Source organism: Homo sapiens, chromosome 1, assembly GCF_000001405.40.
Source record: "Homo sapiens chromosome 1, GRCh38.p14 Primary Assembly".
In the NCBI taxonomy this organism is placed as follows: Eukaryota; Metazoa; Chordata; class Mammalia; order Primates; family Hominidae; genus Homo; species Homo sapiens.
This window is the reverse complement of record NC_000001.11, coordinates 15,204,132-15,220,861: the sequence shown is the minus strand read 5'-3', so window position 1 is coordinate 15,220,861 and position 16,730 is coordinate 15,204,132. Positions and strand designations below refer to the sequence as shown.

Genomic DNA, 16,730 nt, shown 5'->3' with positions numbered 1-16,730 from the left:
GGGTGCATAGGTTGACAGAGACAACCTCTGAACTTGAGAAGTGCAAGTCTTCATTCAAAGTCTGGAAAAGCTCTTTACACTGAGCTGTATGGGGGGTGTGTAAGAACTCAGGCCTTGGAGCCAGGCAACCTGGGCTCAAACCCCAGCTCTACTGCTTACTAGCAGTGTGACACAGGGCACTTACATTAACCTAAAGCCTCTGTGAGCTGACAACAGAATGGCATTATTACCAGACTTGGGTCCAGACAAAATGGGGTGATGTGTGAAATGCTTAGCACAACACTGGGCATAAGTATTCAGTACATATTAGCTATTATTATTGCCATTTTCCCCTAAGAAAGTCAGTATTGGGAGAGCTGCTAAAGTAACTCAGCACCCAAATGTACTACATATAAAATATTTTATTACAAAAAGCTCCATTGCATGGCATTTCAAAAAGAACATTTCCTACAGTTTTCTTTCTTCTTCTTTTTTTTTTTTTTTTTGCTGTTACACAGAAGAGACTAGTTAAGTGTACCATTGAAGACTATTATGCATCACGTGCCTACGTTCATCAGGCCTTAAGCCCTCAAAGAACAACAGCATCAGGGGCTCTGCGAGAGCCGCCACCTGAGCCTCACCGCTTAGTTCATAAAACAGCCCTGTGTCCTTTCTACAAAGCCAGGTCGTGTTTTCTACCCACAGTTCAGGACTCCAGCGTAGACAGCAAACACAAAACTTGTTTCCTTTTTGAAACAAAACAGTCTTAGTAGAAGCAAAACAAACAACCACAATCTAAACCAGCCGCGAGGAACCCTTTCCTAGCTGGAAAGGAGAATGTGTCGCCAGCGATTCGGAGTGAAAAGGATGGGAAGATGCCTGTGCCACACCCTTGAATGTGGTCCACAGATTCACCAGCTCCAAGGCAGCATCTCTTTCCAAAGCACCTGCAGCAGGAGGCTGTGTGGGGCAACAAAGTCACTCCTGATACAGAGAATCCCCCCCCGCCCGCCGCCATCCAAATGGCTCCATGCACAGCTGGCCCCTCCGCTTCTCAACTGTGGCTCATGTGGCTTTGTTAGAGTCTTGGGGGTGAAAGGTGTGAGAGACAGGAGGGAGCGTGGCTCAAGTGGGGCCATTCAGTCGGGCGGCCGGGTGTCGGGGGCCTTCTCCTGGACTTCATCATACTGCGGTGGAGGAGTCAAAGGCTCTATCGAGGGAGGAGGGACGTTTTTGTCTGGGAGGTTGATCCTAAAGTCTTTGAGGTGAAGCTTTTCAGATTTAATCCTTCGAACTTTCAGCGGTTTCAGTCGTTTGGCCAACTTAGAGTTCTGCCTGTCAGGGGGGTTCCCAGGGCTGGCCTCCACGTCAGCCCTGGTGGATGTGGGGGTGGTCTCGTCGAGCCCCGTCAGTGACTCATAGGACGGGAGAGAGATGCTCAACCTCGGGTTCTGCTCCTCTCCCCTTGCTTCTGAGTAGTTTGTGTTCATCACTTCCTCGTAGCTGGGAACATAGTACCTTGAGGCAGCCTCCTCATCCTCCTCTTCTTCCTCCTGGCTGCAAGAAGACACACAGACAGGGAGAGTGTTAGCCTGTGCTCAAGTCATTCAAAATCCCAAAGGGATGGGCTCCAAAGAGTCCACACACAGCAGCCTTGTAAATAACAAATGGGTCTTAGAGGCAATAAAAGTGAATACTTCAAGTGTTTACTATGAGCTGGGCTCCCTTCTAAGTATTTTAGCAAATATGAACCAATTTCAGATTCCTGACAACACTATGAGTTAAGTACTAGTCATGCAGGACAGGACAGGTGAGTCCCCAAATTGGGGCTTAGCCTGGGAGGGTTCTTGGCTTCATCAAGGAAGGAATTCAAGGGTGAGCCAGTGGTGTTAGACCACAATTCTTTATTGAAGGGCACTGCTTCTTGTGGAGCAGGGCTAACTCATAGGCAGTACACCCTGAGTTGGCCACATAGGGGCTCTTGGAAATTGTATTTATACCCACTTTTAGTCACATGCAAATTAAGGGGTGGGTTAATGCAAATTGAGGGGCAAGCTATTTAAGACTTCCTAGGAAAGGTAACTTCTGGGTCGTTACCATGGAAAGGGATGGTAACTGCCAGGTCGTTGTCATGGCAATTGTAAACTGTCATGGCACTGGTGAGAGTGTCCCATGCTGATGAGCAATGAGGGCAGCCAGGGATCACCCTCGTTCCCGTTTGCTGGCTTTGGCTAGTGTTTTTTTAAACCTTATCTCATCTGGACCACATCCTGTTTTGGTCAGCAGGGTTATGATCAGAAAACAAGTCCTGCCTGTTTTCTATCTCACTATTATTATAATACCCAATTTATAGATGGACTGAGATACATCAAGATTAAATGACTTGGTCAGACCTTCAGGAAATGGGAGGGCAGGAAGTGAACACTGTACTCTCAACTACTCCACCATGTTATCTGGGTGTTAAACCTCCTTTGCCTTTAAGCCTTTCCCACTTAGCGACATGCTGCGTGAGCTATTCCAATGCTCAGCTGGGTCCTTTGGTCAAAGGCAACACAGAAATGTACAAAGTTGCTACCAACTTTCAGTAGAGAAAGAATATCTGAAATATAACATTTATGTGTGTCTCAAATTATTCTGTAATTTTATCTTCCAAGTTTATCCCAAGACTCAAAAAGATCAGGTCCTCTCAGCCTTATTCTCATTTGACTGTTGAAAGAGAAAACCAAAAAGTCAGGATATTTTCTACACATTTGTCAGAATTAACGCCAATAGCCACTTTCCAGGACTCTATACTTGAACCTGTGGGGTGATCATGGCCAACATCAGAAACCTCAAAGTCTGCCTTGGTTTTCCTCCCACCCTCCTTTAGGAATGAACTCAAATGTGCTCACAGCTAGGGTGGGGAATGATGAGTGATTGATATTTGTTCTTTTCTATATTTCTCAAGTTTTCTAGAATAAGCATGTGTGATGGTTAATTTTAGGTGTCAACCTGACTGGCCATGGTTGCCCATATTAAACACTGTGAGAGTGAGGGTGTTTCTGGAAGATACTAGCATTCAGCTCGGTGGGCTCTGTAAGGCAGATTCCCCTCCTCAGTGTGGTGGCACCATCCAACCCATGGAGGCCCTAGATAGACCCAAAGTCAGAGCAAGCAGGAATTTGACTCATTTCTCCCTGCCTCACTGCTTGAGCTGGGACATCTCATTTCATCTTCTCCTGCTCTCAGACTAGGATCTATACCCTCACCTCTCCTCGTTCTCAATCAGGCCTTCAAACTCAGAATGAATTATACCCCTTGCTTTCCTGGGTCTGCAGCTTACAGATGGCAAATTGTGGGACTTTTTGGCTTCCATGATCCCAGGAACTAATTCCTCATAATAAATCTCCATTTAAAAAAATATATATCCCCCTGGTTCTGTGTCTCTGGAGAACCCTGACCAATACAGCATATATTATTCTTTGCTATCAGAAAATGAGTTTAATTTGGAAATTGTATTTGTACCCACTTACACCCACTTTCAATTATGTGCAAAAGTAAGAAGTGGGTTAATGTAAATTGAAGGGCAAGCTATTTAGAACATTCTAGGAAAGGGATGGTAACTTCCAGGTCATTACCATGGAAAGGGGTGGTAACTGGTAACATTGGAGGGCAGAAATCCCTTCAATATAATGAGATTTTTTTTTCTTCTGGTGTGTACCCACAAGTGGCATTGCTGAATCATTTGGCAGCTCAATTTTGAGTTTTTTGAAGAAACTCTAAACTTCTCCACAGTGGTTGCACTAATTTACATTCCCACCATTAGTGTACCAAGGGTTCCCTTTAATCCATATTACATTAAGAACAATTCCCTTCCCACTATAAAGATAAGAAATGCTTGTAGAAAATTCAAACAACACAGAAACATCTAATGAAGAAAAGAAAAACATCCCGAATCCTTCTACCTGGAGACAAACCACTGTAACATTCTGGTGTATACCTTTCCTACCCCTCTCCAATCCCACAGCCACAACATTTGATGGGACCATAACCTGACCAAAGATGCTGTATTATATCCCCCTTTTCTCATTGTTGTGGATATGGTCCCACATTAACAAATATAGATCAACAGTTGCTGCATAGAACTCCATTGAATAGGTACGTCATTTAACTCAGTAGGTGGTTTTTTAGGTTGTTTCTAAGTTTTTGTTATCCTAAACAATGATCTGATAAATATACTGGTACAAACTCCTTTGCACCTGTGGGACTGTCTCCCAGGGATAAACTCTTATAAATAGGATCAATACGCACATCTTCAGTACTGCCCCTTATGGTGAAACTCTTAAGAAAGTTTCTATCAGTCAACATTTCATCAGCAATCCATCTTCCCTACAACTCTCCAACAGTAGGGGCTGTCTATCTTGATCAATATGATAGGCAAAAAAAAGAAAAGACATCTTTTTGCTTGCATTTCATGACTAATGAAGTTGAACATCTATTGGTTGAACATCTATGGAATATTCATAATCTTTGTCTGTTTCCTATTGGTATATTCATCTTACATATTCATTTCTAAGAGCTCTTTTTATAATAGGGATATCAACTATTATCATATCTTCCCCAATGTATCACTTATCTTTTAAATTTGTTGGTGGCATTTTTGCTCAAATGGAAAATTGCTTCCCAGCCATTTCAAATTAAAGCATACACACAGCATGCTGGGGTGAAGGGACAAGCAAATATGCTGGCCACCCCAGGCCCTGTTCAGTGACCCTGGGCGGGTCAAAATGCTGGTTCACTTAAGAGTAATGGCCTCCAGCTCCATCCAAGTTGCTGCAAAAGACAGTTTTTTGTTTTTGTATTTTTTTTTTTGAGACAGAGTCTCACTCTGTCACCCAGGCTGGAGTGCAGTGGCGGTATCTCAGCTCACTCACTGCAATCTCCACTCCCCTGGGTTCAAGCGATTCTCATGCCTCAGCCTCCCCAGTAGCTGGGACTACAGGCATGTGCCACCATGCCCAGCTAATTTTTGTATTCTTAGTAGAGACAGGGTTTCACCATGTTGGCCAGGCTGGTCTCAAACTCCTGACCTCAAGTGATCCACCTGCCTCGGCCTCCCAAAGTTCTGGAATTACAGGAGTGAGCCACTGCACCTGGCCCAAAAGACAGTATTTTGTTCCTTTTTATGGCTGAATAGTATTCCATGGTGTAAAAATCTATTGTAATAAAATTTTTAAAAAATCTTGGTTTACCTGTAATCCATTTGTACCATGCTATTTGGGAAGCTCTGGTAGAAAAGTCTAAAGTTATTTGTAAAATGATAAACCGTTTTGACAGAGGCGTCATGGGCGAACATGGGACAATAAAGCCTGTAGATGACAGTCTTTTCACCACGGAAAGGTGTGAACATGTGTGTGCATGCGTGCGTGCCCATCCCCGATCCGGGGAGGGAAGGGGACAGTCAGGCCTCACCTGTCTTCCTCCTGGGCGTGAGGCCCAGCGCCTGTCGGGTGCTGGACATGGGCCAGGTCCTCGCCCTGCCGCTGCTTCCTCTTATCCCTGATACTCAGGCAGATAGAAAGCAGCAGCAGCATCACCCCGGCCCCGACCAGCACGTAGGCCACAGAGAAGGTCTTGCTCTTGAGGATGCCGCCACCCACCTCGGTCTTGTTGCTGCCCTGAGCTGTTGGCTTCTCGGCCGCGCTGAAGCCGGGTACCAGGTTCCACATGGCCATGATCACCCCAAGGACCAGCATCCCCAGGCCGATGGCGGTCAGCGCATAGTGCGAGCCATTGGCCTTGGACTGGGCCATCATGTCAGTGGGAGGAGGGCGAGGCCCAGTTCCAAGAAAGAAAATAAATGTATACAAGGCAGCAGTCACAACAAAAACCCCTTAAATGCGCTCCACAAAATCTCTCGCCCCACACTAGAAAATATCAGCTGAACTCCTGCGGGATGGTTCCGAGCAATCGCGAGGCCTCCCGTGCGGATGGCTGCGGTGGAAGGGCCTGGAAGGAAAGCAGAAAGAGCAGAGAGGACGATCAGTTCCGATTCCAGACGCTTTGTGAATGTGGCGGCTCTGCTCTTGAAGGAGTTAGGCAGCAGCACCGAGCACGCCGGCTCTGGCTGGGCCTCGCCTTTGATGCATTCCAGATGTCTTACGTGCTCAGGCTCCTTGTGCGAGGCTGCGAGAAGGGAGGCCGGTCTGCCCAGCCCGCTACTCCCTGAAAAGGAAAAGCCAGACCTTTCCCTGCTGGAGGCCAGAAAGGTCGGAGCTCAGGTCATTAAAACATTGTGTGGAATTTAATGAAGTGCAGTAAAATCGTAGCTCTTGCTGGAGGCTGCTGGGAGAGTGAGCGATGGGATGAATGGTCCACAATCGATGGTTGTAACAGACTCACCTGGGGGACAGGGCCTCAGCCAATGGTATGACCAGGCCAAACAGCCTACTGTCATCTGTTCCCCACCCTCAATGGCTCCCTACTTCCTGCAGGAGAAAATCCAGCTTCTTAGAATGATGCTGCTCATGGTGGCCTTAGCCTGGCTCCTGCCTCTCCTACTGCATGTCTCAGCCTGCCTTTCTTTGCACTACCCACCCCCAACCACCCTCCAGAACATTTCTCTGGTCACCCATAGCTCAGATGCCCCTTTCATGTGCTCCCCAAATCCTCCAGCAACCACCGTGGTGAGTCTCTCTCTTCCCATGACCACATTGTCATCATCTCTAAGCCTGGCACACAGCAGGGACTCAAAAAATGTTTGCAGAGTTCATGCCTGTAATCCCAGCACTTGGGGAGGCCGAGGTGGATGGATCACGAGGTCAAGAGATCAAGACCATCCTGGCCAACATGGTAAAACCCCGTCTCTACTAAAAATACAAAAAAAAAAAAAAAAAAGGCTGGGTGCTGTGGCACGTGCCAGTAATCCCAACTATTTGGGAGGCTGAGGCAGGAGAATTGCTTGAACCTGGGAGATGGAGGTTGCAGTGAGCCGAGATTGTGCCACTGCACTCCAGCCTGGGTGACAGAGCAAGACTCTGTCTCGAAAAAAAAAAGTTTGCAGAGTCAATGTTGGATGAAATGAATGCAGGCCACATGAAGTCACCCAGCAAGACAAGCTTCTCTGAAACCACATCGAGTTCTCCCTTTGTTAAAAGGGACACAGGCCTGCACATTCTTCCTCTCCGCTCCTGTGCCCAGCTGGACAAAATAAACCTTCTTTCCACAAAGCAGCCCAGAGACCCTGCGCTAAAGGGAGCAGCCAGCGGTCCTGGGATTCCACAGCATTTGTTGGTTGAGAGCGAGCCAGAGAAGCAGTCACTCAAGGCTTTAGTTTAGAACATTCTCAAGGACTGAGGAGGAGGAGCAAGCAATGCCCCTTGCTAAACCTCTCCCCCATACATTATTCCTGTGACAGGAACTTTTGCAAAACAGTAAAATTTACAAGATGTTTAGCTGGGCAAGGACCTGTTTTCAATTCTGCATTTTTTCCAGTCTCTCCGAAAGGATGACTGACCAGGCTGCTTGAAATCTGATGCTGCGAAGATATTTTCTTGTGAAACCATGAGTTTATCTGAAATTGGCCACTTTGTTAAAAGAGACTCTAAAAATATTTGGAACAACATCCTTTATCAGCTTTAAGTCTGTTCCTTCTTTTTTTCACCCAACAAATATTTCTTGTGCATCTCACTACCTCCTAAGTAGCGAGTTAGGCACTGGAGAAACAGCAGTGAGCAAGTTAAGGATTAGCAGAGCTTCTAGGCCAGCAGGAAAATGATCTATAGGGAATACCAATAAAGTAAGAAGGAAGTACAGGAACTGTGGGATTAGACAGCAGGGTGTCCTAGCTCAGGGCTGTGGGACATACAGAAAGTCTATGTGGGAGAGGATTCCCACTGGCCTAATTGGGCCTGAACCCTGAATGCACAGCACTGTGTATGTGCACGTGCGTGAACGCACTGGCTCTGCTCTTGAAGGAGTTAAGAAGAAGCACCAAGGCACACTGGGGCATGAACACGTGTGCATATATGTTTATGCACACATGAGCACATGTGCATGCGTGCGAGCACCTATGTACATATGCATGCATATGTATGGAATATGAACAGGTAGGATGGGCATGTGTGTGGCGTGCAGGGCGCTGAACAGGGATCCCACTGCAGACAGCTGCGGTAGGACCAGATGGGACCGTACACAAGGATATTTATTTCTTACAGTATCACTCATGGCTGGCAAAAGGAAGGATGGGGGCTCTGGCAGCCTTAGGAATGCACCGGTTCTACCAAATGGATCTGGGACAAGGTCAGACTCGGAGGGTGGAGAAGTACACAGCCAGGGGGTTGTGCTGGAAGCAGGAGTGATGAAAATACCACGTTCTGAGCACATGCTAAGTGCCTGACAGGCAGGCCTTGTACGTGGGACGCTGAGAGTGTGGTTAGCAGACTAGTGATTTGAGCCGCTTTAACCCCCTCACTGCCTGCCCTCATTCGTTCTCCATTCCAGCTTTGCCTTATGCTGCACGAGAGAAAGACAGGCTCCAGATGTGAATCATGGGCAGAGATTAAAATGTCGGGATTAATACATTCTTTTTGTCTGATAAACTGTCAATGATTAAAAACAGGTGATAATACTCAGTGTGGGGAAAGGTATTGGGATGGCAATTTCATGGCATTTTTTTAGATGGCAAGTTTTGGCATTTATAGAACAAAAGTTTCAAAAATGTTTATACCCTTTGGCTCTATAATTCCAACTTCTAAGAATTATGTACAGAGATATCATCACAGCTTTATAGTGGTGAGAAGCTAGAAATTACTTCAATAGCCAATAATCCAGATCAGGGTAATAAATTATGGTTCACGCACTTAAGGAAATTATGGTCTCAAAGCAGCTAATGTATTTTTAAATCAAACAACAAGATTGAAACAACAGTGTGTTCAGCGTGATTCTAATTTTTAAAAAATTCTCCATACACAGATGAATATATGGGAAAAAGCCTGGATGATTGTACTTACATTGAAATGAAAGAGACAGTGTATTTTTATATATACACACGTATGTAAAAATCCCGGGGGGGGGGGGGGGGTCACCTTTCAGACTTGTACCATGATTGCTTCTGGGGACGAAGGAAACTCGGAAAGTGTACCCTTTACTTTCTATTTCTCTCTTTTGAATTTTCACAATCTGATTGTATTGCTGCAAGGTAGCATAGCTGAGTGGTTAAGAGTGAGCTTGGGACCCAGGCTTCCTGGGCTCACATCCTCACTCTATTCCTTCACAGCTGTGTGACCTCGGGCAAGTTACTTAACCTCTCTGTGCTTCAGTCTCCACAGCTGTAAAAGGGAGACAAAAACTCTCTAGTACCTACCTCATAGGGGAGTTATGATAAATAAATAATATACATAAAGCACCAAGAACAGTATGTGACCAGCACAACAGTAAGTTCTTAAACAGACAAAAAAAATTGTTATTTAATGTTAATTAGAGCTTGTATTCTCAATGGGGTAAGATCACCCACAAGGAGCAAAAATTGTTTCTTGGGGACAGGGTGAAAAAAATCTTGGATATTATAATGGTTTGTGGCCCTCCACAGGGCCACAGAATATAAATAGATACACAGGGCATCCTTGGCATTAAATTTTCAAGTATTCCAAAAAGAATGTCTAAAAAGACTTCTCAGGGAGGGCAAGGTGGCGGAAAAGGTTGAGAAACACTGTTGAATGTATCATACTAAGTTTCACAACACTCGGATTATATATTATGATATTTATAGTTATTTTCTGTGTGTGATGGGATTCACCATGATTTTCATTTTCTTTTTCTTACTGGGAGAATAAGAATTAGAAAACAGAAATATCTATGTGTTGCTTTCATAAAATAGTTTTGGTTTTTTGGGTTCATGGCAGGGTTATGTGTGCAACGGTGGCGTAGATTTGTTCTTCAAGTTCAGCCCTCTCTTTGGGGACTGTGATCTTGATGGGTCTATGGGGTCTGTAGAAACCCAGCTCCCAGCGGGGCATCTGGTCAGCTGTTTGTCCTGTTCTTGGCTTGTTGACCCTGGACAGCACCCGAGCTATATTTAGCATGGTGTTCTTTTCCTTTTAAAAATATGGAAAGAAGCTAATTTTATGCTTAGAGGATTTGGACCACACGGCTTCCAATATGTCCCTAAAACACAGTAGGCTTGGTGGGCAGTCTGGGGTCCTGGCTTGGCCAAACTCAACCTCTAGACCCTGGGGTTGGCCCCATCACTGCTCATGTCTGAGGAGGCCCTAAGGGAGGTATGAATGATTCTATATCTGAGTTTTTAAAGAAAAATTATTAACCAGTTAGAGAGGTATCTACCTGTTGTTATTTGAGGAGACTCAGGGCAGGCCAGAAGGCAACTCTTCATGCTAGTCTTGAGTTAAAGATCCACCTATAAAAAAACCACAGAGATGCAGCTTTCTAAGCAAGCTGTGAGCATTGCAATTGGAGTTACATGTTGGGGAGCCATGTGTTTTCTTTGTTTTTTAGGGGGAAAAGGGCAAGGGTTAGGGTAGGTATCTATGCAAGACAAGTGGTACCAGAAGAAGCCAGAATTCTGTACAAAAAAATATGAGTTGCAGAAGGATGACAACATGGTAGCTAACATTTATCAAACTCTTTCATGGTATTATCCATCTTAGACATGTGCTCCAGAGAATATCAGAGGAAATACTCTCAGGTCATCTTATAAGGAATGTATATACCTTGACACCAAAACTAGAAAAGAACAAGGCAGGAGAGGAAAATGACAGGCCAGTCTGACCCACCAGCCTAAACAAAAATCGGCAAATGGAATCCATGCTTCCCTCCTTCCCTCCCCGTCTCCCTCCCTTCCTCCCTTCCTTCCTTCCTTCCTGAGTCTTACTTTTTTGCCCAGGCTGGAATGCAGTGGTGTGATCTCAGCTCACTGCAACCTCCGCCTCCTGGGTTCATACAATTCTCCTGCCTTAGCTTCCCAAGTAGCTGGGACTACAGGCGCACACCCCCACACCTGGCTAATTTTTGTATTTTTAGTAGAGACGGGGTTTCACCATGTTGGCCATGCTGGTCCGAACTCCTGACCTCAGGAGATCCTCTTGCCTTGGCCTCCCAAAGTGCTGGGATTACAGAAGGGAGCACCCAGCCCAACCATATTTTTTAAAAAGATAACACATCATAATCAAGTTGGGTTTATCCCAAGAATGCAGGGTTTGGTTCAACATTAGAAATTGGTCCCAGGAGAAAGGATAAACCACAACGTGTCACTCTGTGGAGTATTACGTACGCAGCAGTGAAGGTGAGTAAACTGCAGCTGTGTGCACCAGTGAGGATGATCCTGACAAACATAATGTTGAACAGAAAAGCAAACTGCAGAAGAATACACACTGCAGAAATCCACTTAAATGAAGTTCAAAACCAAACAATATGTTGCTCTATTTTTGTAATATTAGGAAGAAACGCAAAGACTATAAACTAAAATTCAGGACAAATTCAGGCTACCTTCTGGCCAGGCACAGTAGCTCACACCTGTAATGCCAGCACTTTGGGAGGCCAAGGTGGGAGGATCGCTTGAGCTCAGGAGTTCGAGACTAGCCTGGGCACTATAGTGAGACCATGTCTCTACAATAATAATAATAGTAATAATAATAATAATAATAATAATAATGAGCCCAGTGTGTGGCTCACACCTGTAGTCCCAGCTACTTGGGAGGTTGAGGTGGGAGGATCTGCTTGAGCCTAGGAGGTAAAGCCTGTAGTGAGCCTTGAGCACGCCACTGCACTATAGCCTGGGTGACAGAATGAGACCCTGTCTCAACAAACATAGAAACAAACAAACACACACACACACTACCTCCTGGAGAAATGAAGAGTGAAGAATAGTACTGGGGAGGCGAACAGTGAAGGGTACATGAGCGTTTTATTATACTATTCATTACAATTCACATATATCTTATATATACTCTTTTGAATGACTGAAATAGTTTGTAACAAGAATGTCCAAAAGCCCATCAATGTGTTTTTATTACTTTTAGCATAAAATCCAAACTCCTTGGCCATGACCCTCAAGCCCCACCAGCCTGGACGAGGCTCCTGTCTTGCTGTCACAGCTCATATCTCCTGCTCACCAGCCCTCAGTGGTTTCCTTTCTGCTCCTCATTGGCACCAACTACTTCCTACCACAGGGCCTTGGAACTTGCTATACCTACTGCTTGAAAACACCCTTCCACCTGTCTCTTTTGTCTGGCTACTTATTTATTTATTTCTGTATTTAAAATTTTTTAAAAAATTATTTTAGAGACAGCATATTTCTTTGTCACCCATAGCTCACTGCAGCCTCGAACTCCTGGGCTCAAGTGATCCTCCCGCCTCAGCCTCCCAAGTACCTGGGATTACAGGTGCACACCATCACACCCAGCTAATGTTTTAATTTTTAATCTTTTTGTAGAGATGGAATCTTGCTGTGTTGCCCAGGCTGGTCTTGAACTCCTGGCCTCAAGCGATCCTCCTGCTTCGGCCTTACCAAAGTGCTGGGATTGCAGGCATGAGCCACCATGCCTGGCTATCTTACTACTTTTTAGTAGAGACCTCTGTCTCTCAGCTTAAATGCCACCTCCTCAGTGAGCACCTCTCTGACCATCCAGTGGAAATGCCTCCTCTCTCACACAGCTACACTTGGGTCCCCTGCTGAGTTCCTTGCCTTTCCTTCCCATGGGTGATGATAACACTTTGCAGTCAGTAGTAATCTCATTTTGCTTTCTTGTTGGCTCCCTGTCTCCCTCACTGGAGTATGAACTCTCTGAAACACGGTTCTTGTCTGTCTTGTCCACTGCCTGCTCCAGGCCCCAGCACCGCATGCCAGGAACTTAACAGGTACTTAGTAGATATTTATAGAACAAACAAATGAATACCTGGCAAGTTTAAAAGTTGAACCAATGTCTCATATCAATGAGGGGAAATTCCCAGTCCAAGCCTGAAGGGGAGAGGATTAATAAAAGCTAACTTGCAGGAAGATCCAGATACCCAAATCTTGTATCCGTATGCAAATAATTTGCCGGCAACATGAGGAAAATATGCAGAATAAATGTGATTTCCGTTGTGACCTGAGAAAGTGACTGTATCAGTATTCCCTGGTGGGGCTGGAGGTTTCAGCGGTTGCCTGGCCTTTGCAGGTGGAAGTCAGCAGGGAACATGGAAGCCTTTAGCCTCACCGCTCCACGCTGGGCAGAGGCTCTTTCCACTCGTGTGCACACCCCTGGCCAACCAGAGCCGGCAGGGAGGGGCTGTGCAGTGGGTGTGGAGGAGTCGGGGCCAGGGAGGTAGACCCAGCTCCAGACATCAGAGTGGCTGAGACCTGAGTGGGGCCATCACAGCCAGGCACATCTGGATTGAGTCTCCATGAACTTGAACGTGAAGACAACGACTGAAATAAGATGGGACGATGGAAAGCAGCGCTGCCCCGGCTGAAACGGGGTAAAGGGCCCAAGCATTGATGGCTGGGCCTTCCGCTGCCTCTTCTCGCTGAATTGCAGAAACTCTCCAGGACACAGTTTAGAAACTGGGAATCGGATGTAGACCCTCACGTGACCACTGAGTTCTGTGCTGTGGCCCCGGAAGGTGCAGTTGCAGAAGCGCCCAGCCCAGCTGGCTTTAGTGGGAGGAGGTCTTGCCAGTCGGAGGCGGCTGGCGGTGCTACCAACCCCCATGACAGAGGGGCTCCTTGAGCATTCTCCCTGCACCGACCTCTTCCTGCCAAGCTGCATAATTGGGAAAGGGATCCCCGGTTCCACCGGGCTGTGCCACATTCACATCACAAAGGAGGAATTCAGTGGGGCTCTCTCTGCCAAGTTTCAGCCCACAATCACTTTTGTCACAATTTCCAGTCCCATGCAGTGGGGGTAGGAAAAAAGGTGCTGAGCCCCTGCTCCTGTCCTGCCTGGGAGGGAGTTTCAGGCTACCTCCCCACGGACCAAGGTCAAAGGGTGTCAGGTTCCTGTTTCAACAGAGCACCAGGGATCTTTTAGACTGTGCACTAGGGAAAAACAAAAAGCAATGTGCAAATGAGGCATAGAGGCAGGGGAGCTGGGAGGAGGGCTGCCCAGCTGGAGAGAGCTGATGGGAAAAAGAAGAAAGGATGTTAAGTAATACACAAGGCAGGGTAAGAAGAATAATGGTAACAAGAATAGCAGTCTCCGCAGCAGCTATCATGAAATCAGCAGCAGCTGATACTCAGCATGAATCAGGTGCATTCCTAAACTCACCCGATCCTCACGGCCACCCTTCAAGGAATGATCTGCCCCACCATCTTGGAGTCTTGGACAGGGTAAGTAATTTGCCCTGGGCCACACAGCCGGTAAGTGGCACAGTCGACTCATAATCAAATCCAGCTGACTGTGAAGTCCACCTGTGCCTGCACTATGCGGGTTCCCACAAAGCTGAGTCCCTGGGGGCCACTTTCTGGGCAAGGCACCGAGGTTCCCAGAGGTGTTTCAGGACAAAAGTGTGAGGGTGACAGGTAAATGTTTCCCTCCCTACCCTCCCTCCTTCCTTCCCTCCTTCCTTCTTCCCAGAGGTGTTTCAGGACAAAAGTGTGAGGGGGTGACAGGTAAATGTTCCCTTCCCTCCCCTCCCCTCCTCTTCCCTTTCTTCTCTCTCTCTTTTTTTTTTTTTTTTTTGACAGGGTCTCACTCTGTCATCCAGGCTGCAGTGGCATGATCATGGCTTACTGTACCCTTGACCTCCCAGGCTTAAGCAATCCTCCCACCTCGGCCCCCGAGGAGCTGGGACTACAGGCACACACCACCATGTCCAGCTATTTTTTGCGTCTTTTGTAGAGAAAGGGTCTCGCTCTGTTGCCCAGGCTGGTCTCGATTTCCTGGGCTCAAGCAATCTGCCTGCCTCAGCCTCCCAAAGTGCTGGGATTACCAGGCATGAGCTACTGGACCTGAACATTTCTTTTAAAATGACTTGTTGAAGATTTTGATTTAAACAATTCCCGGTTCCCCTACTGTATGCCAGGAGCTTTGGGGGATACCGAGATACATGAGACAGACTTTTACAATCCAGCAGGAAGACAGGCGATTCTGCCTAACAGAAGGGAAGTCAGCGTCAGAGAAAGCATCAATGTGTGTTGAATGCCAATTCTGTGCCAGGCCCTCTGTGGAGCTCTTTATGTGCATCATCATTTAATAGTTATTGGTTCTATTTTATAGATAAGGACACAGGTTCCAAGACGGAAAGTAATTTTTCTAAGGTCACACAGTGAGTACGAGGCAGGGGTAGGGTACGCCTGATCCTAAAACCCACACTTTTAAACACCAAGTAGCACTGCCAAAATGGAGCGTGTCTGAAGAGCTTCCAAAAAGAATGACGGATTCAATTTGAGGAGGGCAGGGAGAAGGAAGATACGCATGCAGCTCTGCAGGGCCTTGAGGCCTCTGTGGCCTTCCTGTGGGTGGAATTTGGGGGTAAGAGATCAGGATATTCCAGGGTGAGGGCTCAGCCTCAGTAATCCCACAGCGATGGGAAAGTGGGCATCTTCCAGAATATGTCATGGCTTGCAGAGAAAAGAGGCAGCTTCCCTCCCCGACTCCAAACACAAGCTGTCGGTGCATTGTATAAAACCTGACATCACCAGGGTCCTTGCTAATCCACGTAAGTGTTGGAGAAATTAAGGAAGACAAGTTCATCTTGAAGACTCAAGGGACCAGAAGCAGAAGCAGCGAGTTCATGAACCATACATCTTTTCTTGAGGCACTTGACATAGTGTCTTTCTCTAAGCAGGTGGCTGGTGTCCAGCCTTATTTAGAAGGCTGGCACGGGGGACCCAGTCACATTCAGTATTTCTTGGGAAATGTGACATCTCACATTTCAGAGACTTCCTCTGCCAGGATAGCACTGAGGGATGCAGATCTCCTGTCCCCGTCAGCCCAATGTGAGTCTGACACCTCGAACCTTCTCCAGGTTCTGGCCATCGGTGTCTCTGGGGACAACAGCAGCAGCCCCCCGACCCTGGCAAACAAGGCTAAGCACAGGCTCTGACCATCAGCCAGACCCCCAGTACTCTAGTCCCCCAACCCCCAGCACATAGTTAGGGCACTGACACCCCAGGCACTTTACACAATTTAGCTCATTTATCCCACCCAACAGTCATATAAGGGAGGTACTGTCATCCCCACCTCTGTCCATTTTATCAAGGAATACGCTGAGGCACAGAGGTGGAGAAACTTGCCCAAAGTCTCAGTTTAGTAAGTGGCAGCGCCTGTCCACAAAGCCCCTTGTTTAGGCCGTCCTCATTCACGGAGCAGCAGAAAAGCCAGCCTTTCCACCAAGGCAGGGCAGAGTTCCCATCAATGAGGTCTCGCTCTCTCACCCAGGCTGGAGTGCAGTGGCGCGATCTTGGCTCACTGCAACCTCTGCCTTCCAGGTTCAAGTGATTCTCCTTGACTCAGCCTCCCAACTAGCTGGGATTACAGGCGTGCGCCACCACACCCGGCTAATTTTTGTATTTTTAGTAGAGACGAGGTTTCACCACGCTGGCCAGGCTAGTCTTAAACTCCTGACCTCAGGTGATCCGTCCGCCTCGGCCTCCCAAAGTGCTGGGATTACAGGCGTGAGCCACCTCACCCAGCCTAGGTGGACAACTTTGGAGGCTCAGCCCTGGAATCTGAAGAGTGGGAGGACTGGGGGCCTGGAAGAGAAGCTGGAGCCTGTCCCACGTTGCTGCCTGTGGTCAGTGTTCCTGGTGGCCAGCCAGGCTTGTGTGAACCTCG

General features: G+C 47.0%; 1 protein-coding gene across 9 annotated transcripts in view, besides 2 other annotated features; it reads right to left on the bottom strand.

Annotated features, from left to right (window-relative positions):
- Positions 1 to 383: 383 nt before the first annotated feature.
- Positions 384 to 16,730, bottom strand: part of TMEM51 (transmembrane protein 51) — a 67,913-nt gene continuing 51,566 nt past the window's right edge. For 4 of the 9 annotated variants that reach the window (XM_017001590.2, NM_001136216.2, NM_001136218.2 and 1 more), the window contains exons 2-4: positions 10,300 to 10,372; positions 5,431 to 5,967; positions 384 to 1,536 (exon numbers count right to left, since the gene is read on the bottom strand). In XM_017001590.2, coding sequence (XP_016857079.1) covers positions 1,119 to 1,536; positions 5,431 to 5,774 — 762 coding nt within the window. In that variant the 5' untranslated portion in view covers positions 5,775 to 5,967; positions 10,300 to 10,372 and the 3' untranslated portion in view covers positions 384 to 1,118. Of the gene's footprint in view, positions 1,537 to 5,430; positions 5,968 to 10,299; positions 10,375 to 16,730 lie in introns of all 9 variants that reach the window. The other 5 variants (NM_001136217.2, NM_018022.3, XM_011541676.2 and 2 more) reach the window with 4 other exon arrangements.
- Positions 15,431 to 15,600: an enhancer, noted in NCBI's record as "experimental_376 CRE fragment used in MPRA reporter constructs". NCBI's record gives its function as "activates a minimal promoter by MPRAs in K562 erythroleukemia cells, with activity observed for the introgressed 1:15531843 variant allele {active_cell/tissue: K562}" and the evidence as "EXISTENCE:reporter gene assay evidence [ECO:0000049][PMID:34662402]".
- Positions 15,969 to 16,524: an enhancer, noted in NCBI's record as "H3K27ac-H3K4me1 hESC enhancer chr1:15530834-15531389 (GRCh37/hg19 assembly coordinates)". NCBI's record gives its function as "activates a minimal SCP1, AML or CMV promoter by ChIP-STARR-seq in naive H9 embryonic stem cells {active_cell/tissue: H9 hESC(naive)}" and the evidence as "EXISTENCE:reporter gene assay evidence [ECO:0000049][PMID:30033119]".